This window comes from Homo sapiens, chromosome 14, assembly GCF_000001405.40.
Source record: "Homo sapiens chromosome 14, GRCh38.p14 Primary Assembly".
Classification (NCBI taxonomy): domain Eukaryota; kingdom Metazoa; phylum Chordata; class Mammalia; order Primates; family Hominidae; genus Homo; species Homo sapiens.
Window position 1 is genome coordinate 79,819,125 of NC_000014.9, and position 24,018 is coordinate 79,843,142.

Consider the following 24,018-nt stretch of genomic DNA (forward strand, 5'->3'; position numbering starts at 1 on the left):
AACTTTTTTTCTGTAAGGGCTGGGGTGTAAGTATTTTACACTTTGAGCGTCTTACAGTCCCTGCCCTATCTCCTCAATCAGCTCTTATAATGACACATAGCAGCCATGGAAACAAATAAATGAGCAGGGCTGTGTTTTCATGAAAGTTGATTTCCAAAAGCAGAGATGGAGCTGGATTTGGCTCAGAGGTCATAGTTTACCCCAATCTAGAGAAGTCCCATAGGTTAAAAATGTGTAGTCTTTTTTTTTGTTTTTAATAGATAAGACCTTCTTGCCCATTTTATAGTCGTTCCCAACATTTGTTGAGTTCTCCACTAAGTACATGAGACCACATAGGATACAACAGGACATTAAAAGCTTTTTTTTTTTTTTTTTTTTGAGACGGAGTCTTTTTCTGTCACCCAAGCTGGAGGGCAGTGGCACAATCTCGGCTCACTACAACCTCCGCCTCCCAGGTTCAGGCAATTCTCCTGCCTCAACCGCCTGAGTAGCTGGGACTAAAGGCGTGAGCCACCACGCCCAGCTAATTTTTGTGTTTTTAGTAGAGACGGGGTTTCACCATGTTGGCCAGACTGGTCTCGAACTCCTGACCTCGTGATTTGCCCCCCTCGGCCTCCCAAAGTGCTGGGATTACAGGCATCAGCCACCGCACCCGGCCCTAAAAGTTCATCTTTAAGGACATTTCCCACCTTTGTTTTAGATATGCCACTATCTCAGACATGAAACACAATAACAAACTAAACCAGGGTCATCTCCACCCAGCTTGTACACTACATATTTGGGTAGGAGCTTAACGTCTTGCCCTTCGCTTTGCCAGTGTGTCTTCTGAGCTCCCCACCTCTGCTAGGTGTGGGCTGCATTCACCCCCAATTTTAGACCTCTTTGGCAGTAGCTTCCTTGATCTCCCGCCCACATACTGTGTCATATCCCAGTAATTCTTCCCCAAACCTTGGCTATGGGTTATTGAGCTGACAAATGTCTAAATGACTGAGATACGATTTCACAACCTGCTGAGAGCCTCTTCTTTCCCTGTACTCTTTGATTTGTAGCTTTGTAAGTTTTGTGAGGAAAGTGGGAAAAACATTCTTGGTGACACAGGCAGTGAATGAGGAGGACACAATGGAGTGGGCACCATATCTAGGACTCCTGCCTGCATTGCGAGCAAAAGCATGTATTTATATCTTAGCCCTCTGAATGTTAGAGGTAGCAGATTATACAGTATGGTGCAGGAAGGAGCATCCTATGTCCTGAGGTGAATAACGTGTTCTACCACCTGGCAGCAGATTAGACCAGATCAGGCTATGAGAATACAGGTTCACAGCCAGATTTAGTACTACCAGCCAGATTTAGTACTACTGCAAAAATGGCTTTTCCTTAAGAAGTTTTTGTTTCTAACTTTTATTTTAGGTTTATGGGTACATGTGAAGGTTTGTTACCTATGTAAACATATCATGCGGTTTTGTTGTACATATCATTTGATCATCTAGGTATTAAGCCCAGTATCAAAAAATTATCTTTTCTGCTCCCTCCATCCTCTCACCCTCCCTGCTCAAGTAGACTCCATTGTCTGTCGTTTCCTTGTGTTCCTAAGTCATCATTTAGCTCCAACTTGTTGAGAACATGCAGTATAAGTTAATGCTTACTCTCTTTAACATCTTTCACATTAGAAATCTATGGAGAAGAAATATGAAAGACTCATATATAAACATGGGGCAAACCATGAAGCTAAATCTTAATGTATCCCAAACCCCAGAGGGAGCATAAGGTTAACTTTGGGTGGCCAGGGTGCTTAGTGATAACATTATGAGCTTTCTACATTAGCAGGGCCCCCTGGTGTGGTTTTGTGCCTGGAGATGTAAGGTTCTGAACTACAAAGGAAGCAAACAAAATGAAGAGATGATGCAAGGAGGCAAAAAAGATGGAGGCATTAGGAAAGGCTTTGAGGGCAGGAGGCACGGGGTCATCTTCTAAAATAACCTATTGGAATGCATGTTTTAATAAGCTTTGAAGATCAAAGAGATTAACAAGAACAAGAGGAAAACAAGGGTAAATTAGGCACTATTGATGGCCTGACAAGGACTTTTTTCTCCCTTTCTGCTTACAATAACCTCTCATTTTACCATGTGGCTAGTTGGTTTGTTTACTTGTTTGTTTACACTTACTCATTACTAGCTTTCCCTATAAAGCAAGGGAAAACACTCTGTCCCCAGGGGCCAGCTGCATAACATGAATAGATGAAATAGACCAGACCAGATGCAATCTGCAGTCATGGGAACTCTGAACTGAAGAGAACATGCCCTCATTTAAAGGCATCCAAATGAAACATTTTAAAAACACTAAAATAAAGAGACCCCATGAAGGTCAAACAAGGCATAATGAGACACACAGTGTTTTTTATTCTTTTGTTTCTTAAATTCCTTTAAATATAGCCCTTTCATAAATTTGGCAGGATGTGCTCTCAGTAAAATTTCTGGTTTAGTAAACTCTTGGTGACATTATCAAATTAAACAGCAATCCCTTCCAAATTCCCCTAAAGCTAAGACCTTTTTTTTTTTTTTTTTGCATGTCTTTTTTTCTCTGATAATCCCAGAGTTTATATAACCTCAAACTATAAGCTTGATGAATTTTAGAGTTCATTGTAATGCTTTTGGTTTAGGTGACAAAACTGATGCCTACAAAGATAAACTGATTTGCTGAAGGTCATGGACCTAGTCTTTATTGGAGTTGTAATTCAATCCCAGGTGTCCTAAATCTTTAATCCATGCCATTTTATTGATATTATATATTAAGATTTTTTTTATTGTATATCCAAAGATTTCTATTTTAAACTGAGATAACATCCAACAGAGAATTCAGAAGTAGTATGAAATTGATTATCTTCCCTCTACTGGACATTGTTGCCATACAAGACGATATCATTGACCCACTTAGGGCTCAAATATACAACTCTGTATTATTTTAGTCACAAAGGGAACTAAGAGATTATAGACAAGTTGTGAAGCAGTTAGTGGGGACTGGAAGTCTCCTGTGGCACAGACTCAAATATATGCTCTAGTGATGTGTTCTCAGTCATGTTATCTGCCCACACAGAGGACAGATTAAGCAACCTAGAGTACTGGTTCCCAAGCTCGAATTTAAAACTAGTACCAGTCTATGCCAAAGCTTTCAGTGACCCATAGTGAAATGAGAAAAGCAAGGACAATATGGTGAGTCTGCACAAAGTCAAACTTACAGAACTGCCCTATATTTGGATACTGTATCATGTTTTTTTGGATGGCTAAAATCAATGTCTTTTACAAAAGCAGCATTTTGTTACTATGTATAGCATTCTTAATCAGCAAAATAAAGGTTGGCAATGGTATGTCAGTCCTTCCCTACAGTTTTTCTTTGAAGTTTTTTTCTCAGGCATTGAAAACAAACATCCGAAAAAGCAAAAAAACAAGAGTTTTAAAGTTTTAAAGTGTTCTCTATGTTGCCACATTAGATTGAGTAGATTTCAAAGACTGAAGGCCTTTTTACATGTAAAGTTTTATTGTGAACTAATAATGATGATGTTAAGACCCATCTATTTTATTGAGGTCCCAGGAAGTTACTAGTTTAAGCATCCGTCACTTAGATAACAAGCATTAAGGTAATTTTTAATTTCAGTTAAAAAAATAGATTAAAGGCACAAAATAGATTTCCAAACAAACAAACAAACAAACAAACAAAAAAACCAAAAAAGCCACCCTAGGATAAATATAACTAGAAGGCCAAGATCAGTTTAGAAGTCTACTTAAAGAAAGACAGAAACTTCTAAGGACTGTGTGGAAAGATAATTCATGCCTATAAAAAAGTCTCTGTGCTAACTCTAGATTTTTTTCACTGTAAGCCTTGTAACAAAGGAGAGAGAGCTATTTTGGAAAGCTGAATTAGCCTACATTTGAGCTAACATGATCCATCTTTGTGTCAAGAGAAAGTCAAATATTATAGTCCCCAGCCAAAATAAGGCATGTGATCTACATCAAAGGCAATTCCTGAATGTGTATCTACGTCCTCATCCCCTCTCCTCTTTTTTGTCTCTTGGGTAATCTATACCAATAACCTCCTGATTCATGAAATTTATTATCTAAATATTGAAAATATTACACTAAATTTAGCCTAATAAAAATTCATGCCAAATTTACTGAGTATTTATTGGAAATCAGAGACTTAAGGTCCTGAATCAGGTGTAAGAATTGTATTATCAATAACAGACTTAACAGTGATTATCTCTAGGTGGTGACCGATATTTTGATAATCATACTCCAAAACATCTATGTAGAAATTGGGCATGGTGGCGCATGCCTATAGTTCCAGCTACTTGGGATGCTGAGGTGGGAGGATTGCTTGAGCCTGGGAGGTCAAGGGTGCAGTGAGCCATGATCACACCACTGCACTCCAGCCTGGGCAACAGAGCAAGACCCTGTCTCAAAAAATGAAACAGAACAACAACAAAAATCGATGCAGAGCATGTATTACATTTGTAATCAGAGAGAAGGGATATCTGTTATTTCTTAAAATATAGAAGAGTATACTAGGAGACCAGCAAGGGAAATGTTTTAATATTTAGATACGGAAGCTTCGCCAGACCCGTAATTTTTTAAAAATAGTGAATCCTTTTTCCTGGGTTGAATTATGATGTATGGCCCTGCAAGGAAAGCTGCTGGAGGAATTCAAAGATGATGATGATGATGATATGCAGGGCTCTATATAGCTTAACACATTAGTTCCATAAGGTCAGTTCTGTTCATCAAGTGACAAATTGTCCATGGATACACCAGGTGGTAATGCAGCAGCAGTGGGCACAAGCTATCCTGTAAATGACCCATTACCAGAAAGTTTAAAATTTCTGCTTGGAACCCAGGAACACAGATGGAACACGAAGTGGCTTTCACCAGAGTCTTGGGAATATGCTTGATCCTTTAACCCCAGCTTCAGGTGTTGTGTACATACTTAATGCCTGAACAGTTCTCATCTGTACATCTGCTGGTTAGATGAAAAGATGCAGTTGCAGACAAGTAATTTAAAACTTTACATTCATGTCTCTCTACCTCCCTCTTCCTCTTCTGTCTCTCCCTCGATAGGATGTCCAGAAAATTAAATCAGCTGCAGATTAATTGAGACTCTCTTCCATGTAGGGAACATCTGTCACTGCAGCTACAAAGATTATATTAATGAATTAAAACATTTGATTACCTTTAATCCAAGAGAATGCAGCAGTCTCTTTAGTCATTTAGTTTATCAGGGTTTTTTGATGGTTTTTTTTTCCACGTGCATCTTACGACTATAGTCCACCCCTGAAGCTGTGAGATCTTTCAGCAGATGTTGTTTTCCATATCTTTACCCTTTCCGTTGTGGAAGGGGGAAAAAGCCCTCAGAAAAGCAATTTTGGAGGAGGCAGAAAAGGTTTCCATCATGAACATACTTTTAGAAACAGCTGGTAAAACAAATGGTCCAAGTGCAATGCCTGGAGCATATCTATTCAAACAAGGTTGTTTAAAGATAAAAGCACCCACTTCTAAATATCAGCATTAGTAGTGATTTCCTCACGTATATTTAAGAGATGGAAGAGCTTGTGAAGACTTTTTGATTTCTATTTTGTTTTCTGAGACTTCTTTAACTCTTTTGGTTTTGTTAGTATTTGAATTTATCAGAAGCTGCTCAAATTGTTAAAACTGTATCATCATATGTAAAATATATAAATTTACATATAACGGATGCATAAAGATTTGCTTTCTTATTCTAAGAATGTTCTTATTTGATAACATCTATGCATAGTCCAGAAGATTGACATGAAAAACTGATAATGTACTTAGGTATTACCAATCCTATAACCCAATTTGTGAAAAGGTCAGGCACTCCTACTAAAGAACAAACGTTTGTATTTGTAGCATTTAAAAATCTGATTTTATTTTGTATTTGCTACATTTGGAGTCAACCTTATCCCTTCCCTTCTAATGACTTCATTTGTTTACCAGGCTGTTTTGTTCTGCATCCTCTGCCAAATGCCATTACGTAACTTCCTTTGTCAGACCAATTGGTGAAATAATTCTTTGTGTGCTTTTTTTTTTTTTTTTTTTTACGGCCGTCCAATTTTCAAATTATATGTGGATTTTCTGAGTCAGGCATTGCACAAATGCTGATTTGTTAGCTTGAACTCGATAAATGTGTGTTCACCCTATCAGTTGTCATTCATGCTGACTTCTTCCTCTACTCTCTTCACTCTGATTCTGTTTTCATTTAAGAAAATTTCAGAAGTAGTGAAGCTAGGAGAGTTAATGAGTAGCCACGTTGACCCTAGTAGGATCTTACCCATTGGAGAAAAGCCCTGTTTTAAAACGATGCACAAAGAATAAGCTTCAATGTCTTCCTCTCCTCAACCCCAGCATGGAGCACAATGCTTATGTGATACACGGAAGTGAGAAATTTAAGAAGTGCTTCACTTTAACTTTTCTCAATAAGTAAATAAAACTGTCTTTTCTAGAGTCCAACACATCCCAAAGTGTGTGACTTTGCTATTTTACCTTAAACTGACTACTCTCTGAATAGATTTTCATGTTATATAGTCTGAGACTTTTCTTTCCATCCTGCTGGTGCTGGAAGACATGATCATAACTACTCACAACCCAGATCTTAAAATATATATATTGTTACACTTTTATATACTTGTATTAAAGCATCAGTTAGTAAGTTTCATGGTTGTTTCTTCTGATGTAAAAGTAACTGTAGTTATAGATCCTCCAGCACATGTCACACTGAAAACCTAATCACAAAGTCAAAATATGTGCATAAATATTAGCTTGATTATGTGTCACATGTACCCCAAATTACACATATATATACCTTCCTCAAAGATTTTTTTTTTGTGGGGGGACAGTCTCACTCTGTAATCCAGGCTAGAGTGCAGTGGTGCGATCTCGGCTCACTGCAACCTCTGCCTCCTGGGTTCAAGCAATTTTCCTGCCTCAGGCTCCTGAGTAGCTGAGATTACAGGCACCTGCTACCATGCCCAGCTAGTTTTTATATTTTTAGTAGAGGGGTTTCGCCATAGTGGCCAGGCTGGTCTCAAACTCCTGGCCTCAGGTGATCTGCCTGCCTTGACCTCCCAAAGTGCTGAGATTACAGGCATGAGCCGCTGTGCCCAACCTGAGATTTTTTTTTTAAACCTTGGATTTTCAAATAACTTTATAGTTGGAGAAAAGTTGCAAGAATAGTATATGGAATTCGTTATGTCCTTACTCAGGTTCACCAGTTGTTAACATTTGCCACATTTGCTTTACCATTCTCTATATGTGTGAGTGTACATGCACACATGAGCCATTTGAGAGTATGCATACAAAACATATTTATGTAGATATGTATTTCCCCTGAACCATTTGAAACTCAGTTGTAGTCATCATTCCTTTTTTAAATAATTCAGTGTGTATTTCCTAACAAGGACTTTCTCTTACAAAATCAGAGTACAGTGATCAAAATCAGTAAATGTAATCTTGACACAAAATCTCACCTAGAGTACATATTCACATTGCACCAGCGTCTGCATAATGGGCTTTGGGATTATTTTTTTCCCAGTCTGTGATCCAATCCAAGATCACACATTGCATTTAGTTGTCAAGCTCACCAACTTTTGAAGCATCTTCCTGATACGTTATTTTATTTCCCCATTTGTTTACTGGTCACAGACCAGTAAGAGCAAGTAAACTTCTTAAAGTCCTGCCAGGTGTGTTGGTGTAGAAGCGGGAAGATAGAGCCTGTGCTTCAGCACAGGAGGAAGATTTCAATTTTTAGAATTAAAATTATGGCAAGGAAGGACCTGTGTTTCATCTAGTATTCATTCCTTAGAGAGCACGGATATAATAGTCTGACAATGCTTTTTATTAGTGTTTTCACTTAGCTGCAGATTGAGCATTTACTGTGTGCTAAGCACTGAGGATGCAAGAGTAAGCAAGAACAGAGATGGCCCTTGTGGGCCTAGTGGGGGACACTGTCATGTAATTAAGTGACCTCCAAATAAATGTGTGATGACAAACGTTGATGAAGGCTATGAAGCAAAGGCACTTGGTGCCATGAGCATACCATGGTAGGACAGGTAACAAGGCAGGGGTGGGTGCTAGGAATGTAGAGAAGGATGAGGAAACCTTCTCTGAAAAAAATGATATTTGAGCAGAAGAGTGTGAAATAAGTGACAGCTAAGAGGAAGAAAAAATGCATTAGAGCTTGCAAAAAATTCTGAACATTAGAAAAAGTCAGCCATTTCTGGGAGAGAGTTATCTGGGAGCAGCAACTGTCTCACAGGATTTTGTCCAAAGTATAAAATAAGGAAGTGTGTTAGGCTATTCTTGCATTGCTATAAAGAAATACCCGAGACTGGGTAATTTATAAAGAAAAGACGTTTAATTCGCTCAGAGTTCTGCAGGCTATATAAGAAGCATGGTGCTAGCATCTGGGGAGCCTCGGGGAAACTACAATCATGGCAAAAGGTGAAGGGGGAACAGGTATGTCATATGGCCAGAGCAGGAACAAGCAGGGGTGGAGATGCCACAAACTTTTTTTTTTTTTTTTTTTTGAGATGGATTCTCACTCTTGTCGCCCAGGCTGGAGTGCAAAGTCGTGATCTCGGCTCACTGCAACTTCCACCTCCTGGGTTCCAGCAATTCTCCTGCCTCAGCCTCCCCAGTAGCTGGGATTACAGGCTCATGCCACCACACCCAGGCTAATTTTTCTATTTTTAGTAGAGACGAGGTTTCACCATGTTGGACAGGCTGGTCTCAAACTCCTGACCTCAAGTGATTTGCCCGCCTTGGTCAATTAAAGTGTTGGGATTACAGGCGTGAGCCACAGCACCTGGCCGCCACAAACTTTTATATGACCGGATCTCACTGTCATGAGGACAGCACCAAGCCACAAGAGATCCACCTTCATGACCCAAACACCTCCCACCAGGCCCCACCTCCAGCTTTGGGGATTACAGTTCAACAAGAGATTCAGGCAGAGACAAATATTCCAAACTATATCAGGAATTAAGTAGGCTTTGCTGTCCTTTTGCAGCTTTGAGTCAACCCATATGAGAGTGAATTCTCCGATCCTGTACTGCTCCTGGGAGGAAAGGGAGTGGGCTTTGTGAAAAATGGAGATTTAGTGAGTAAAGTGATGAGTTCACTGGAGGAAGGTTGGCTAGAAAAAAAGTGACATGGCTGGGCATGGTGGCTCACGCCTGTAATCCCAGCACTTTGGGAGGCTGAGGTGGGCGGATCACCTGAGGTCAGAAGTTCAAGACTAGCCTGGCAAACATGGTGAAACCCCATCTCTGCTAAAAATTCAAAAATTAGCCAGGCATGGTGGCAGGCACCTGTAATCCCAGCTACTCGGGAGGCTGAGCCAGGAGAATTGCTTGAACCCGGGAGGTGGAGGTTACAGTGAGCCGAGATCACGCTCTGCACTCCAGCCTGGGCAACAGAGGAAGACTCCATCTCAAAAAAAAAAAAAAAAAAAAAAGTAAAATTGTCTTTTTTTTTTTTTTTGCGTACCAAATCCTATCAATGAAAGAGACAGGAATAGATTTGACTGGAATAGTCATGGGAGCCATTTCCAGGCTCTCATAGTCTTAGAGATGACACTTGGTAGTTCAGTGTCTTATTGTGCTTCTTCAAGCACATACAGCCTGATTGAGAGAGACTCAAGACAGCATACAAATTCTAGGCATTTTTACATCTGCCTAGCTGTAGTGAATTAGTCATACAATAATTATTTAAAGAAAGAAATGTTTCCTCCATGTTGTGCTGGAGATACAATGGTGGAGAGGAAGTGGAGATCAACTATTGATCGATTTATAATTTACACAATTCCACACTTTGGAGAAAACACATTCCTTCTTCCTCACCATCACCCTCACCATTATAATTATTATCAATTAACTTGTTCAATATGTAATTTTGAAGTTGCCAATCATTTACCAGTGTGATTCATCATGTTAAAAGGAAATGGCTTTTACATTATTAATATTCTGCAATAAAAGTTTGGGTTTGTGTGCTTACAGTTAGAATAAAAGAAAAATGCTTTGTACTAAGACTATGTTAATAATAATGATAATAATAAAGAAATAACACTTTCTCCAGAAAGGAAATTTCAGGAAATCTGTTTCAGAATACCTGTCTCTACCACAAGAGCTTTCTAAGTCATGTTTTGATTGCTAACAGCATTCCAGTACTGGGTTGGAACATATGTATTCCTTCTATCAACTGAGGAACAGCAGGTTTTCTGTTATTGCCCATGCATGGTCACTCTCTGCTTATAAAAATTCATCACTTCTGCTGATTGCATTGTGTAGGATTCCTACTGATTACCATTTAGATTTGTTAAGTGACATAGCACATTTTATGGAGTCAGGAGCCAGTAACCATCAAGGTCAATAGCAGCAACCTGAATCAGTTATAAATGAATTGTTTAATTACCCACGCATGATCAATGTGTGCACTGCCATAAAAGATTAGTTCTAGTCCCTGAATGTGTGTGTGTGCCTGTGTGTAGTTCTAAGGGATTACAGACTTCTCTGAAGTCTTCTTCATTGAAAGAGATTGCAAGTGAGTATCTTTTCAGTGGAATAGAACTGAGTTATGGTAACAACATCATCTATACATCCAGTCTACCGTGGCCACTGAATCCAATGACTTTTTTTTTTATTAATATGAAGGTGCCTGCCTATCCAAAGCACTGCTTACTGTATTTCATTACAATGTATTGCTTCACTCAACACACTCTGAATAGAGAAGATATGCTCTACAGCTTCAAATTCAGGCACTTCCTCCAAGCAGAGCTTGTTTATCTGTCTGCAACACACTTGGAGCATTTGAAAGACTAGTGATGAAATCCATTCATGCTGTGAAAATGTGTTGAGCATCATGGCCGCTTCCTTTACAATGGCCTGGCATGGAAGGTTGGAGAAGGCCATTGTTACCATATAAATGACTGTCTATTTGCCTCTGGCATGACTTGTCCAGACAAGTTGCATCATTTTAAAATGAATGAAGTTCTAGGGAGCATTTTTAACTATAGTACCTTAGTTGTAACTTTGAGAGTTTTTAATAAGCTTGCAAGGAATAAATTTGGAATCTAGAGTAGTTTGTTCTATTTCTGGAAAAAAAGGAATGCTTTGTACATATGTAGGATCCTTTACCTGGCCACAGAGTTTGGTTTGAGAAGTGGACTTGACTCTGGATAGTGAACAAAATGCTTTTTCAATTTTTAAAATGGAGGCACCTTTTTTTCTGAGAGCATAGTCAGTAACTCCCCAAATGTGTGTCTCTTGTGTGATAGAGGAACCAAGTAAGAGAATAGCTTGGTGTGTGCCTGGTTTTCTTCCACAAGTACCCAATTAGTAAAGGGGGCTTTTGCTTTTTACAAAGCATGAAAATTAGGGGTTGCCTATAGGCCTGAGAGCCCTGCCAGACAGTTGCCTAATGCCACCAGCCAGGATTATGGAAAAGAAGCCTTGGCATACTATTCAATGGCACCGATTCACCCAAATTGCAACTGAGGAAAACGTGTTCATTTTTCAAATAGAGTTTGAGTAACCATAGACACAGGCAAAGTAATCTCTCCATTTGGTCACAATGGACTAAACTACCTTGTTCTATTGTCTACCTTCTCTCTCACTGACTCCATCAAGGCAGACTTGTTCGGTAAACTATTCAGGTGACTTTGTGAACTTTTATTTGGTGCAAGGCTCTGTTAATAGCTGTAAGTCAGCTGTTTTTGGTCCTCCCTCTCATTCTCTTCACACTGATTGATGAAATGGGAAACAGGTTGAAGAAGCTCACTTTTTTAGATGACAAGTATTAAGTTGACAGATAAACCTTTAGGAGGTTCCAGTTCATTTCAGGAACGTGTTGACATGAGGTCTTTAAAGATCGACAGTCCTATTAGAGATAGAGACCACCAGGAAATCATAAGGAAAAGAAAAATGAAGGAAATATCTAGATTCAGTAGGAAATTGGGGGTGATGAGAGAATTTTAAGAAAAACGCTTGCTTTATCACCAGCTGTGTCATTTTGTTCAAAGGGACAGGAAACATAATACTCTCTCTGAAGCTTAACAGAACTGCAGACCTATTGCCACAGTTTTCTCTTTTGCATAATCTTGTTTAGTCACTTAAGAGCTAGTGAGTGACAGATTTCACATGAGAATTGGTCACGTACAAGAATGTTAATGCAGAACTAGGTCAGATTATGGCATTTCACACATGCAAGATGGGAACACGCTTCCTCTGGTTAGACAAAGGCTTGACGATTGCCCATGCATCTGGTCCTGCTTTAAAGGAAGCTCATGTAATCATGAGAACTCACAATGTATCCATAGATTTCTTAGATATCAAGTTTCTATGAGCCTTGGCATTGTGTATGGTTTTATTGTTATTTTGCCAAACGAGGGTTTTCTAGCTTCACTTAGTATGCCTGGAGAAAGCTATTTTGGTTCGGCCCAGCTCCATCACTCTAAGAAATGATGAGGATGAGCGCTCTCAGTTTGTACCGACTACTCATGAGAGACTAAGAACTGATCATCTGGCTGCTGGCAACATTCCACTGCAACAGCTAATACAGTGTTTTGGAAAGATGCCGACAACAACCAGATTGCATTAAGCACTTTACCGTTTAAGATCAGTTTTGCAGTTCAGAACTTGAAGTCAGCAGCAGATCTACCTTTTAGTTTGCAGTTTACTTTGCTCCGAGTTTTTCATGTCTTCTGTGAGCCCCCCACGTTTATCTCAGGGTGGATTCTAACACACATATGCTTATGTGAAAATTTCATAATACTTTAGTATTTAACAGGCACTTTTATATAAGTCAATTGATTTCAGGACACCCCCTCGCCGCCCTGATACCAAAATCTGCAGACGCTCAAATCTCTTACATAAAATGGTGCAGTGTGTACATATAACTTACACACATACTTCTATATAATTTAAATAATTTCTAGAGTACTTATAATACCCAATCCAACATAGTTGTTATACTGTATTGTTTTTGTGTTTTTAATTGTAATATTTTCATTTACCTGCAGTTGTTGAATGAGTCGAGGGCAGGTAGATATGGAAAGCTGACTGTTACTACTTCCCTTTTACTTATATTACAATATTATCTATGTTAGTGATGTTCATAGTTCAAGAGACACACTAAAGGAATTACAGTATGGAGTGTCTCCTAAGTTGCATTGTGGAACTAAACACTAGAGACAAGAGTCGAGCCCTGGCTCAATAGAGCCAGTAATAACTCAGTGTCTTTATGACCCTGAGCCGGTGCCTTAAATTCTCTGCAGCGTAGTTTCTTTAAACGGTGGTTCTAAACTAAGGGGACTTTTGTCCCCAGGGGACATATTGTCAATTGTCTGGAGATGTTTTTGATTGCCACAACTGGGAAGATGCTAACGGCATCTAGTGGGTAGAGGTCAGGGGTGTTGCCAAATAGCCTACAGTGCTCAGACAGCCCCCACCACAGAGAATTATCCCACCCAAAATGGCAATAGTGTAGAGGTTGAAAAATGTCACTTTAAAATGTAAATAATGTCTATCCCATTATCACAGGATTCCTATGGGGCTCAACCCCACATTTTGTTTAAAAAAAGTAAAAAAAACATAAATTGCCCTTCTATGTCTGATGTTACTACTATGGGGCATTGCACATATGGACACCAAACTTTTCCCTTAAAAAGGAAAATGGATTTATTCTTTTAGATTAAAAGTTATAAATAAAGCTATCAGATTAAAATATATTAAATATATCCACTGAATCTTGGTTTGTAATTTTATGGTTTTAAATGAATGCTCTAAATATAAAGAGAAACAATGAAAAGTTATTAAGTAGGAGAAACCTACTATTCAGTGACTAATATAGATAAAGGAAATTGGAATCCATGCAACTAATAGACTTTTCTATTAGGGTACAGCCACAGCACGTCTTTCCTAATAGAAGCAAGCCTGAAATGATAAGTTGTTTGGATCACATTAATTAACATTCAGCTCTATTAGATTTGTACCTGAGGTTGGGTTCATTTTACTGGTGCTGATGAATATCAAACTACACAATATCTACGCACATTATATTAGAATAAAACATGTTTTACATTGAAGGCAAATTTTAGATTCGACTCTTAATAATGGTCTTTTATATTAACTCAGATAACTAGAGATAGTAAAAGAATGAATTAAAATTCCAGTGAGCCAAACTACAACATTGATAATAGTAATGAGAATTAATTCTGTGTTGATTTTATGGTGCCTTTGCCTCGTAGGTATATATAACTCTGGAGTTTATGAGGCATGTTTATAGATCTTAACTTCTTAATTTTGTAATGCTGTCCTCTTAAAATTTTTGCTTGAGACGGACAAAACCTCCTGAATTTCTTCAATTTACATGGGCATTTTTACTAGGAAAGAGCATGCAGCCTTCATCAGATTCTCAATAGGGTTTATTAACAAAAAATGTTGAGAAATCACCTTAAAAGGCAGGCAGCTCTTAAATGCTTGTTCTCACTGAAGTCCTTCTAAAATGATATTGCATGGACTCTATCAGTCTCTTAGCAGCTCATCTGTAGAGGTACCAACTGATCAAAAATTCAAAGTTCTTAATTGACATACTCAGGTTTTTTAAAATTTAAAGATCCAGATTGGTAGCTCAGCCATATAGCTAAATTGAATAATTATGCAAATGCTGCACAATATTTAATTGGACCTTTTGGAATGAAAATAACCCAGGTGTGCACAATTCTTTGCAATCTGGAGCAACCATTCTAATATATATCTGCAAGTGACAACATCTTGTATGTAAACAGGCAGAGGAAAAGAGTTCTGGCTGCCCTCCCAGGAAAATATACATGAAAGAACGTTTGTGTTACAGCATTTGTGTTACAGCACATACATATTTCTGAGTTGTTTGTTATTAAAGTCCCATTGTATGAAAACAACTATATAGACAGACTGGCAATCCAGAGAGTTGGTAGTTACATAAACAGGTCCCACGGCTACCAATAATATTAACACGGTATTCTTAGCCCTTAAGAAACAAAACACAGAAATTTCTAATACTGGGAGTTTAAAGTGCCACAATGGAAAAGCAAACTCAATTACAAATGCTGGATTCCACCTGGAGCCTATTCTTTTCATTTTCTTACTTCTGTTTCTGCCACCTTCCCTTCTTCCGATAACAGATTTTCAAGTACTGCTCTTAGAATTGCTAAATGTGTTCAGAGAATGTGTGATAAGATCTGATTCTCCTGGAAGGCCAGGTTATTTTAATCTTTCCATTTCTCACACCAACCATTTAACTAGGTATTATTTGTTTCTGGACGTCACAGCTAAAGACACAACATTTTACATGAAAATGTCAGTGTTGAAAATATTATTTATCTATCTATCAAAATGTAGCCACGCATCTGTTCTTGTTTGATTCTAGTAAACCATAACCCTAAACATGACACAAAAGGGGCTAGTGAAATATTTGCCGAGAGCGGTACTCTAAGTTAACAGTAAATAATTGAAAATAAGTAAGTCAAAACCAAAACCAGGAAAGTTTGCATTCATTCCCAATCATACTTTAACAGAACTTGCAGCTGCCACAGATTCAGACATCTTCATCTTCCTGTGGAGCATTTGTCTTTTCATAGCAGAGGACAATCTCTGTGACTTTCTTATATCACTGAGACCATCTTGTACAGTTTATTTCAAAAGCAAGAGTGTTCTTTTTCGTTTCATGCCACCAGTGACAATACGAAACCAGATCTAACTGAAACTTCACTCAACACATTCCCGACCCGCCACCCCAACCCTAATAGCCTCTCATAACCACCGTTCTACTCTACTTCTGTGAGTTCAACTTTTGCAGTCTCCAAAAAGAAGTCAGGTCATGTGATATTTGTCTGTGCATGGTCCATTTCACTTAGCATAATAGGGGGACTAAGTTCAAGAGATCTATTGCACAACATGGTGACCATAGCAAATAATAACATCTTGTATTTTGAAAATCACTAAGGGAGTAGATTTTAAGTGTTCTTAGCAGAAAAGAAAATACAATGAGGTAATGCCGGTATAATTTAGCTTGATTCAGCCATTTCACAACTTGTATACATTTCAAAACATTATGTTGCACATGATAAATATGTACAATTTTTATTTGCCAATTTGAAAAACAGAGAAGTCCCTCTTCAGATCCTGTCCTATGCAGCTGTCACTCACTTGGCTTTGTAAGCCTGCAGACAGTGTCATTTAAAATATTTTCCTCTGTACCATAACGCTTTTCCTTTTAATGATATATAAGAATAATATTTCTCTCTAAATAGTTATTTCTTTAACTTTGAAATAATTCAGCATCTCATGATTTTGATTTCCATTTCTCCATATATACATTTTTTGGGGCTCTGTTCTGGGATTTAGGGCTAACCTTTGTCATGGAGACATCTGTTTTTGGCAGTCTTTGTTTCCAGGGAGTGAAAATGTGTGTAGAAAGAATTGAATAGCTACATCTTAGGTGACACAATTGAGGAACTGGATGAAAGATATTTGTGGAAAGCAACATAATTATTCAAACTGGAATATGGCCATTGCCCTGGGTTTCATATTTATCTTCATAAGCAAAGTGGTTTGGGATTCTGTGCAAGTATAAGGATTTAGGATTTAAACACTAAACCACATCCCTGCACGGAGCACATGGGCTTTGTTGTTGATAATCATGATAGTCGCACAGGAAACTTGACAGTGACAGCAGGGGAACAGCACAGTATCCTACTTGGCCACTGGTAGGAGGATGCAATTTAAATCCTGGCATGCGTAGAATAGCCTCACTTATCTGTGGATTGTTATTGTAATCTACATAGTAAGTTTCAATCAGAACTCAGTTTTGTGCAGTTGATTTCCAATTCCCGACTCTGCATCATTAGGGTACAATGTTTTCTGTAAGATTTCTTTGTAATATTATAGAGAGAAGAGCAGAACAAATGCAGTTATTCCTCTCAAAGTTCAGCTGAATGCTACTAATAGTTCAAGAATGTGGATTGTAATGGTTCTGTGCATTGAAAGAACACAATGGCAAATGACAAAGATGACACTAAGTGTGAGCCACAGCTATTGTTTTGATAGCCCACTCTGCTTTTCTAGTTAACTTTCTTACAACCATCAGTTCCATATTTAAGACTAGAGGATCAGTTCTGATGATGCTCATTCAAACTCTTGCCAACTGACATTTAATGCACTTTAAAGTTGTTAAAACCAAGAGCAGGAAATGTTACACTTGTAGTATCAAGCCTGGCTCATGAGAAAGTTCCATCCACTATTCTGGAAAAAAAATAGAACTAGCCTGCAGGACACAAAGCTACCTGTGGTGATCCGAACTATGCTTCTCAAAAATCTTTCTTTTGTTTGGCCACCTTTATAATAGGAGTTCTCCAACAGAGAAAGAGCTGCTTACAGCTTCAGAGTACAGATGGATAATTGTTGCTGTGCCATCTCTGAACATCTTAGATTGAGGGTCCCAGAGAACCTCATGTATGTGAATGTTAGCACAGTACAAAAGATGGGACAGAGCTTTCCAGAGCAGTAACAGACAGCTGTGCCCAGCACTTTCTTCTAAAAGTTGGAGATGCTGGATGGAAAATTTGTCATTGTTTACATAGCACCCACACACACACAAAAAATCCTGACTCACTAGCTTCTGTGTTGTCATTTTTTTGTCCATGGTTCTATTGCTGCCTAATTTTCATACGGGACCCTCACAGTGGTTAGTCTGCACAGTAAGGAGTCAACTGTGACATCCTCATCCTTGAATGCTAGACTCCCCACTTTCTCAGCTCAATATTCCATGTGTCCAAAGTAATACTGTTAGTATCCTACATTATTCCAGGATCTTGTCATGCCACTTCAAGAAACAAATTATCACCGCTTTCTAAGACTTACCAAGCTAGGGGTGTTGTAAAGTATGTATGCAATTGACTTTTGACTTTTGATTCTTATGTTGAAAGGCAACATAGAAAATAAGCTTCCATTAATGTAATGATATAGTGTTAGGAAGACAGTATCTACAGTCCATTCAAAATATTCTGAAAATTATAGTATTGATTTTGGAACAGTTTTGATTCCATTGGCCATAGCGCTTACCTTAAGTCATTTTTTTTTAAAAAAACCGTCTTATCCATTTCATATGTTTTACAGGCACTAAAATGGGGCACAGAGACTAAGTCACTTAGTTGAGTTAACCAATAAGTAAAATTGCCTTCATATTCTGCTTCCTAATGTTGTATCTTCTCTAGCAAGTTCAAGAGAGCTTACTTTCTGGAAGCTTTGCTTGTTAGTAGGATGTATAACCTGTGGGAAAAGACCCAGCAGCATCCACTTTTACTTATCTCCTTGCCTTCTCTGAAAACACACTGAACAGAAATATCCCCATCTCTTTCTCCATCGTGGGTTTTTCCTTTGGGCCACAAATAGTGAACGCCACTGCTTTACAAAGTTATTCTTTTCACCACTAATAGTTCTTTGATGTCATTTTTTGTACAAGTGTCAAAGTTTTTCTCTAGAGGCTTCCACACAGTTAAGTTCTTGCTTTTGGATTCTTTCTAAACCAAATAAATAAATCTTCGAGACTGCAGGTTAATCAAATGCCTTCAAACATGAAGGCTGTTTAGGAGCTAAGCTGCACAGACATTTTCCAACATTTAAACTCTTCATGCAGCATCTTCCTATCTCAATTTGTACCCGTTAGCCAGTTCCACAGGGCATATTGGGAAATACCTTTTATTTTCAATATTTATATTTGTCTTATAGATATTTGTCCTTTCAAGTAGGACAAAGTGGTAATGACCTGCCTCTATCAAAAAATTCTACCTAGTAATCCAAGATAAGCAGTGTGTTCCTAGTGAGTTGCTTACATAAAAGCCAATATATTTTGTACTGAATAGTATACAGTGTTAAAAACTCAGCTTTTTGAGGGACCCAAGCAAGCCTAACCTACATGATTTTACAAAGACAATACTTAAAAGTCATAAAGTACTAAGTCTCAACTTTCAGACTTAAGACTCATAAACGTTTTAATTTTTTATCCCTTAAAAATGTTATTTTTTGGCTAACAGCATTGAAATAAGCGTTACTATAGATTAATACTATGAAACAGGAACAAAACTGTTGAGCAGACATTCTCCCAGGGAAGGACTGTGTGTGAACACATTAAACTTACGCATAAAAGTGGAGACTGTAAGTGGGTTCCAGGGTTTCCCCACGCTGACTTTTTAAATTAAATGTGGCAGTATTGCTAAAAATAAAATTTAGTGTTTCTCAAATTTTTTTTAGATAGATACCTCATATGGTACTCACAAGTAGTGTGAAAACTTAAGTAGTATATCCATCTAAAGCAGCACAAGCAATATGTCAGCACCTTTTCACTATTACCACAGAGAAATAGTGTTGGAGACCATATTGAAAATGACTGTAGTCTGGCTGAGGAGATATTAAGTGACCAGATGGCCTCTGGCACTTCTGTTTTCAAAGCTGCCTTATAGTGCCTTTCTCACTTTGTGATACCAAGCTGCTGCCATGCTAGTGTCCACCCTCGAACACCATGCCACTCAGACATGGTGGGATTCGTGTTTCTGAAGGGGCACAGTAGGAAGCTCATTCTTGGGCCTTCTGGCCTGCCTGAGACTGTGCTAGCAATACAGTCTCATTGTGCACAAAAGAAGCCATTTTTCTTAACACCTTTGAGCCATTAATGAAACCTACCAGTTAGAGGTGGTCAAAAGACAAAATTACAACAAATTTAGCTTAAAGATGTATTGGTTTTACTTGCAATTGTAGAATTGGGCAACACCTTGTTCTATAAAATAGTATGTTCTGATGAGCTGGGCAAGGTGTTGTCTGACTTTATGGACAGAAAAGGACTGAAGAAAGCAGAAACAAAATGAGAAGTAGACAGGTTGTTTCAACATTTCCTTCTTTCTAGGCTTTAAGCAGAGGGTACTTTCTTATGCTGGATCAGGTAAAGGGCCCCTTCTGCTTGGTTGCTATGAATCTCCTGTTTAAAAAGAAAACAAAAACACCACACAAAAAAACCTGACCCATTATGGTTTGGTCTGGTTGGCTGAGGCCTAGGGCCGGAGTCTAGTCTAAAACAATGGCCTCCCCTAAACTTGAACAGGGTTACATTGTAGAATAACATAACAGGAAATGAAAAGAGAAATGTGATGCTCTTCAACAATTGGTTTATGGGGCCTTTTAAAAAGTGTGTATAGAGTCAATGATGAATTAAGATGCAGTGTGAAAGAAAATGACACAGGACAGATATTCAGAGATCATTTGTTCAGTTTTAAAATCAGATTATTAGTATTGCTGTTGAGTCATTTCAGTTCCTTGTGTATTCTGGTTATTAATCCCTTGTTAAATGAATAGTAGAAAATATTTTCTCCCACTTTTTGGTTGTCTCTTCACTTTGTAGATTGTTTCCTTTAGTGTGCAGAAGGTTTTTAACTTGATGTAATCATGTGTCTATTTTTGCTTTTGTTGCTTATGCCTTTAAGGTCTTATCCCCCCAAAAATCTTTGCCCATACCAATGTCTTATAGCATTTCCCCAATGTTCTCTTCTAGTAGTTGCAGAAAGCACTTGTAATTTAACAGCTCAGGAAGGGAATCAAATCATTCAGACCAACTGAAGCTTTCAAAATGTTACTGCTTGAATGGGCAGAATATCCAAAAACATTTATTGTGTGATCCTAACATCTACATATTAGAAACTGATAGAAAACTTCTGATGTATCAGTAAGATGATAATTACCCTTGTAACATTTCTGGAAGCATGTATGTATGTATGTATGTATGTATTTAAACGAATGCTTGTATATCTAGCATCTCTTTCAATTGACTCAATACCCAAGGAATTTTATCTCCATTTTACAAATAAGAGAGATTATGACTTATTTCAGGTCACAGAAGTTGGATCACAGCTGGAACTTTAGTCCAGTTGGGTCTAGAAATTCAATTTTCTTTTTACTTTCATGACTAAGGACCACTCTATAACTCTGAGGTAAAAAGAGCAAACATAATGAAGTTATTTAGAGTAGTGTTTCTAAATCTAATTTTGCATGAGTCCCTTGGGGAACTTTTAAAACATGTAGATAACCAGGCACTTCCTGTTATCCTTTTTCCACTGCCCCTAGCAGACAGACTTAGTATGTCTAGCTTAGGTAACCTGGGATTGTGCAAAAAAGTAAATCTTCAGAGTCCCTCTGAATATCAATTCTCATTATGCAATTATGACTCCTAAGGCTTAAAAGTATGAAATAAATCTGTAGAGATCTTAGGATCTCCTGTGGAAGTTGTTTTTGTGCCTAAAGATTAGCTTGTTTGTAAGTTCCCATACTCAGTGAGAACTGAATATTTTAAAAAACTGGTGAAGGGTGGCACTGTATTTTAACGTAAAACATGCAGGACTAGATACAGTCACGGCCATTCAATTTTTTAAGTTGTATATCTTTGGGTGAGTTACTTAGCTTATTTCAGCCCAGATTTACTGCTATGTAAGGTGTAATTATAATTATTGAGTAAAATAAACTAAAGCATTTAACACGATGTCTGGCAGAGACTAAGTTTTTAATACTCTTAAAAACATCTTCTGGAGGTAGGCTTCTAGTTAATTAGTGTTTTAATTATGTAATTATAATTTTTGTTTCCTTTCTCTGTCCTCATATTTGCTAGAAAAACACTATGTCAACCATTTGATCATACTCATTTGTTTCTAAGCATATATCTTAACTAATCTAGAGACCCATATTCATTGAGCTTTTGGAATGACTGGAAAATTTCTCAAAGCTTCCTCCCTTATCTACGGTTTAGTTTACAAAAATTAAATAAGCTTATGATGTGTGTCTCATCCACCCAAGTACATCTGCAGGGCTCCTCTATTGTAAATCAGCTGCCTAAGGCTCAAGTTAGACACAGTCAAAGCCGTGTATATTTAGGGTACATAATCTTGATGTCAAGTGCTGGAGTCTTGGGCAAACTTTTCATCTTTTTATGTAAAACTGATTTCCATTAAGTATGAAAACACCTTGGTGGTATTGATTTTATGAACCCTGTACATTCCCTGCAATGAAGACAGATTTTAGGGTAAAAGAGGATGTTTGCAAGAAATGGTGAGTTTTATTGTAAGAGAACTTACCGGCCCTATAGAGAGGAGAAAACAGGTTGGAATGTCCAGCTGCTACCACCCAACGGGATCCCAGCACAAAGAAAACAGTCAAAATTATGTTCATCATGACAGAGCAAATGAGCTTTTGGGGAAAACAGAAGCAAAATAAACCTTTTTGAATAATTTATTATTCTATAAACACAATCATAAAGCGTAATGGTATCAGTTCAGGAGAAAGGTCCCACTGCTCCTGTGTTCTACGTCAGTGGCTGCAGGGCCACAGCAGGCAGAGATAACCAAGCATGCTTTCACTGCCCTGATCACCATTCCCCCATTAATAATTTGCTTGGCCCTTTCCTTCCTACTGCCTGAAGAAAATCAATGTTTGGCAGCTCTAGGTTGAATTACTGTTTATTTTATCTTTAGCCTACACAACTGCAAAAGGAAAGCCTGAGTTTTCCAGTGCATATTCCAATACCTGTTTATGGAAGTGAGAACGAGTCAGATAGTGATGTATTTTTTCAGAGAGTTTCTTAAGCCAGCTGTGGATAAGAAGGTCCAATTTGCATTGGAACTGCTAACTAGGACTCAGGGAAATCCCATCTGGTTTAGAGAAGAGTAAATGAAAATAAAACAGAATTGTGAATGCAATGCTTCAATAATTAGTTTGCAAAACATGTATCCACTGCCTTGTGTGGGCAAAGCACCATATTAGGAACTATAGAGGACTGCAAGAAAAACAGAAAAACAGAGTGGGCTCCTTTTGCAAGGTATTCGTGGCTATTCCAGGCATCCTTTCTTCTTTCAGCAGTGATCTCCTGAGTTATTACTATGTGCCTGGCGCTGTTCTGTGGACTGCGGACAAAGACAAAGTCTCTGCTCTCTTGGAGCTTATATTCCAGTGAAGTGGGGGAGGACTAAATGTAAATACATGGGCAAAAGTCAGCTAATAAATACTGTGCAGAGAATCATGAGGAGTTGATGTTCAGTTAGTGAGCAGGCTGGTTCGTTACTAGGGAAGATGTGAAGGGCCTCTGAGAAGTAAAATTGTAGCAGAGACCTAAATAACGAGAAAGACCTAGCCAAGCACTGAGCAAGGCAAGGGATGTTCCTGGAAGGGAAGCCAGAGAGTATGGCCAGAGCCCGAGATATCCTGGGTCTGGTGAGTCATAGATGAGACTGGAGTACTGGAGTAGGCAGCTGGCAGGTCACAGTGGACTTTCCCAGTGAGTCAGGGATTTTGATTTGGGGAAACCTTTGGGGATTTTAAAGAGGAAAGTGACTTGATCTGATTTTTATTGGATACTTTAAGAAATAAATTTTGTTTTGTATACTTAAGGAATACAACATGATTCTATGAGATATATATATATAGTAAAATAGTCACCATAGAGAAACAAATTAACATATCTATCATCTCACATAGTTATACATTTTCCCCTTATGTCAAGAGTAGCCATAATCTGATTTAGCAAAAATCATGAATACAATACACTATTACTAACTACAGTCCTCTGCACATTAGATCTTTAGACTTGTTCATCCTAAACACCTGTTACTTGGTATTCTCTCACCTACATGTCATTTCCTCTCCCACCTCTAGTAACCACTGTTTTATTCTCTATCTCTGTGGGTATTAGACATTGTTTTTTTAGATTCCACATATAAATGAGATCATGTAATATCTTTCTTTCTATGCCTGGCTTATTTCTCTTAGCATAAAACCCTGCAAGTTATGTATATTGTAGCAAATGGCAGGATCTCCTTATTTAAGGCTGAATAATATTCCACTTAATATTTTATAATGTGTCCATCCCTTGACAGATACTTCGATTGCTTTCT

The 24,018-nt window shown here is 38.1% G+C and overlaps 1 protein-coding gene across 54 annotated transcripts in view, besides 1 other annotated feature; it reads left to right on the top strand.

Moving 5' to 3' along the window:
• NRXN3 (neurexin 3) overlaps positions 1 to 24,018 on the top strand; it is a 1,697,919-nt gene that overhangs the window by 1,648,752 nt on the left and 25,149 nt on the right. The gene's annotated exons all lie outside the window — the stretch shown is intronic.
• Positions 1,548 to 2,314: an enhancer, noted in NCBI's record as "NANOG hESC enhancer chr14:80287015-80287781 (GRCh37/hg19 assembly coordinates)". NCBI's record gives its function as "activates a minimal SCP1, AML or CMV promoter by ChIP-STARR-seq in naive H9 embryonic stem cells {active_cell/tissue: H9 hESC(naive)}" and the evidence as "EXISTENCE:reporter gene assay evidence [ECO:0000049][PMID:30033119]".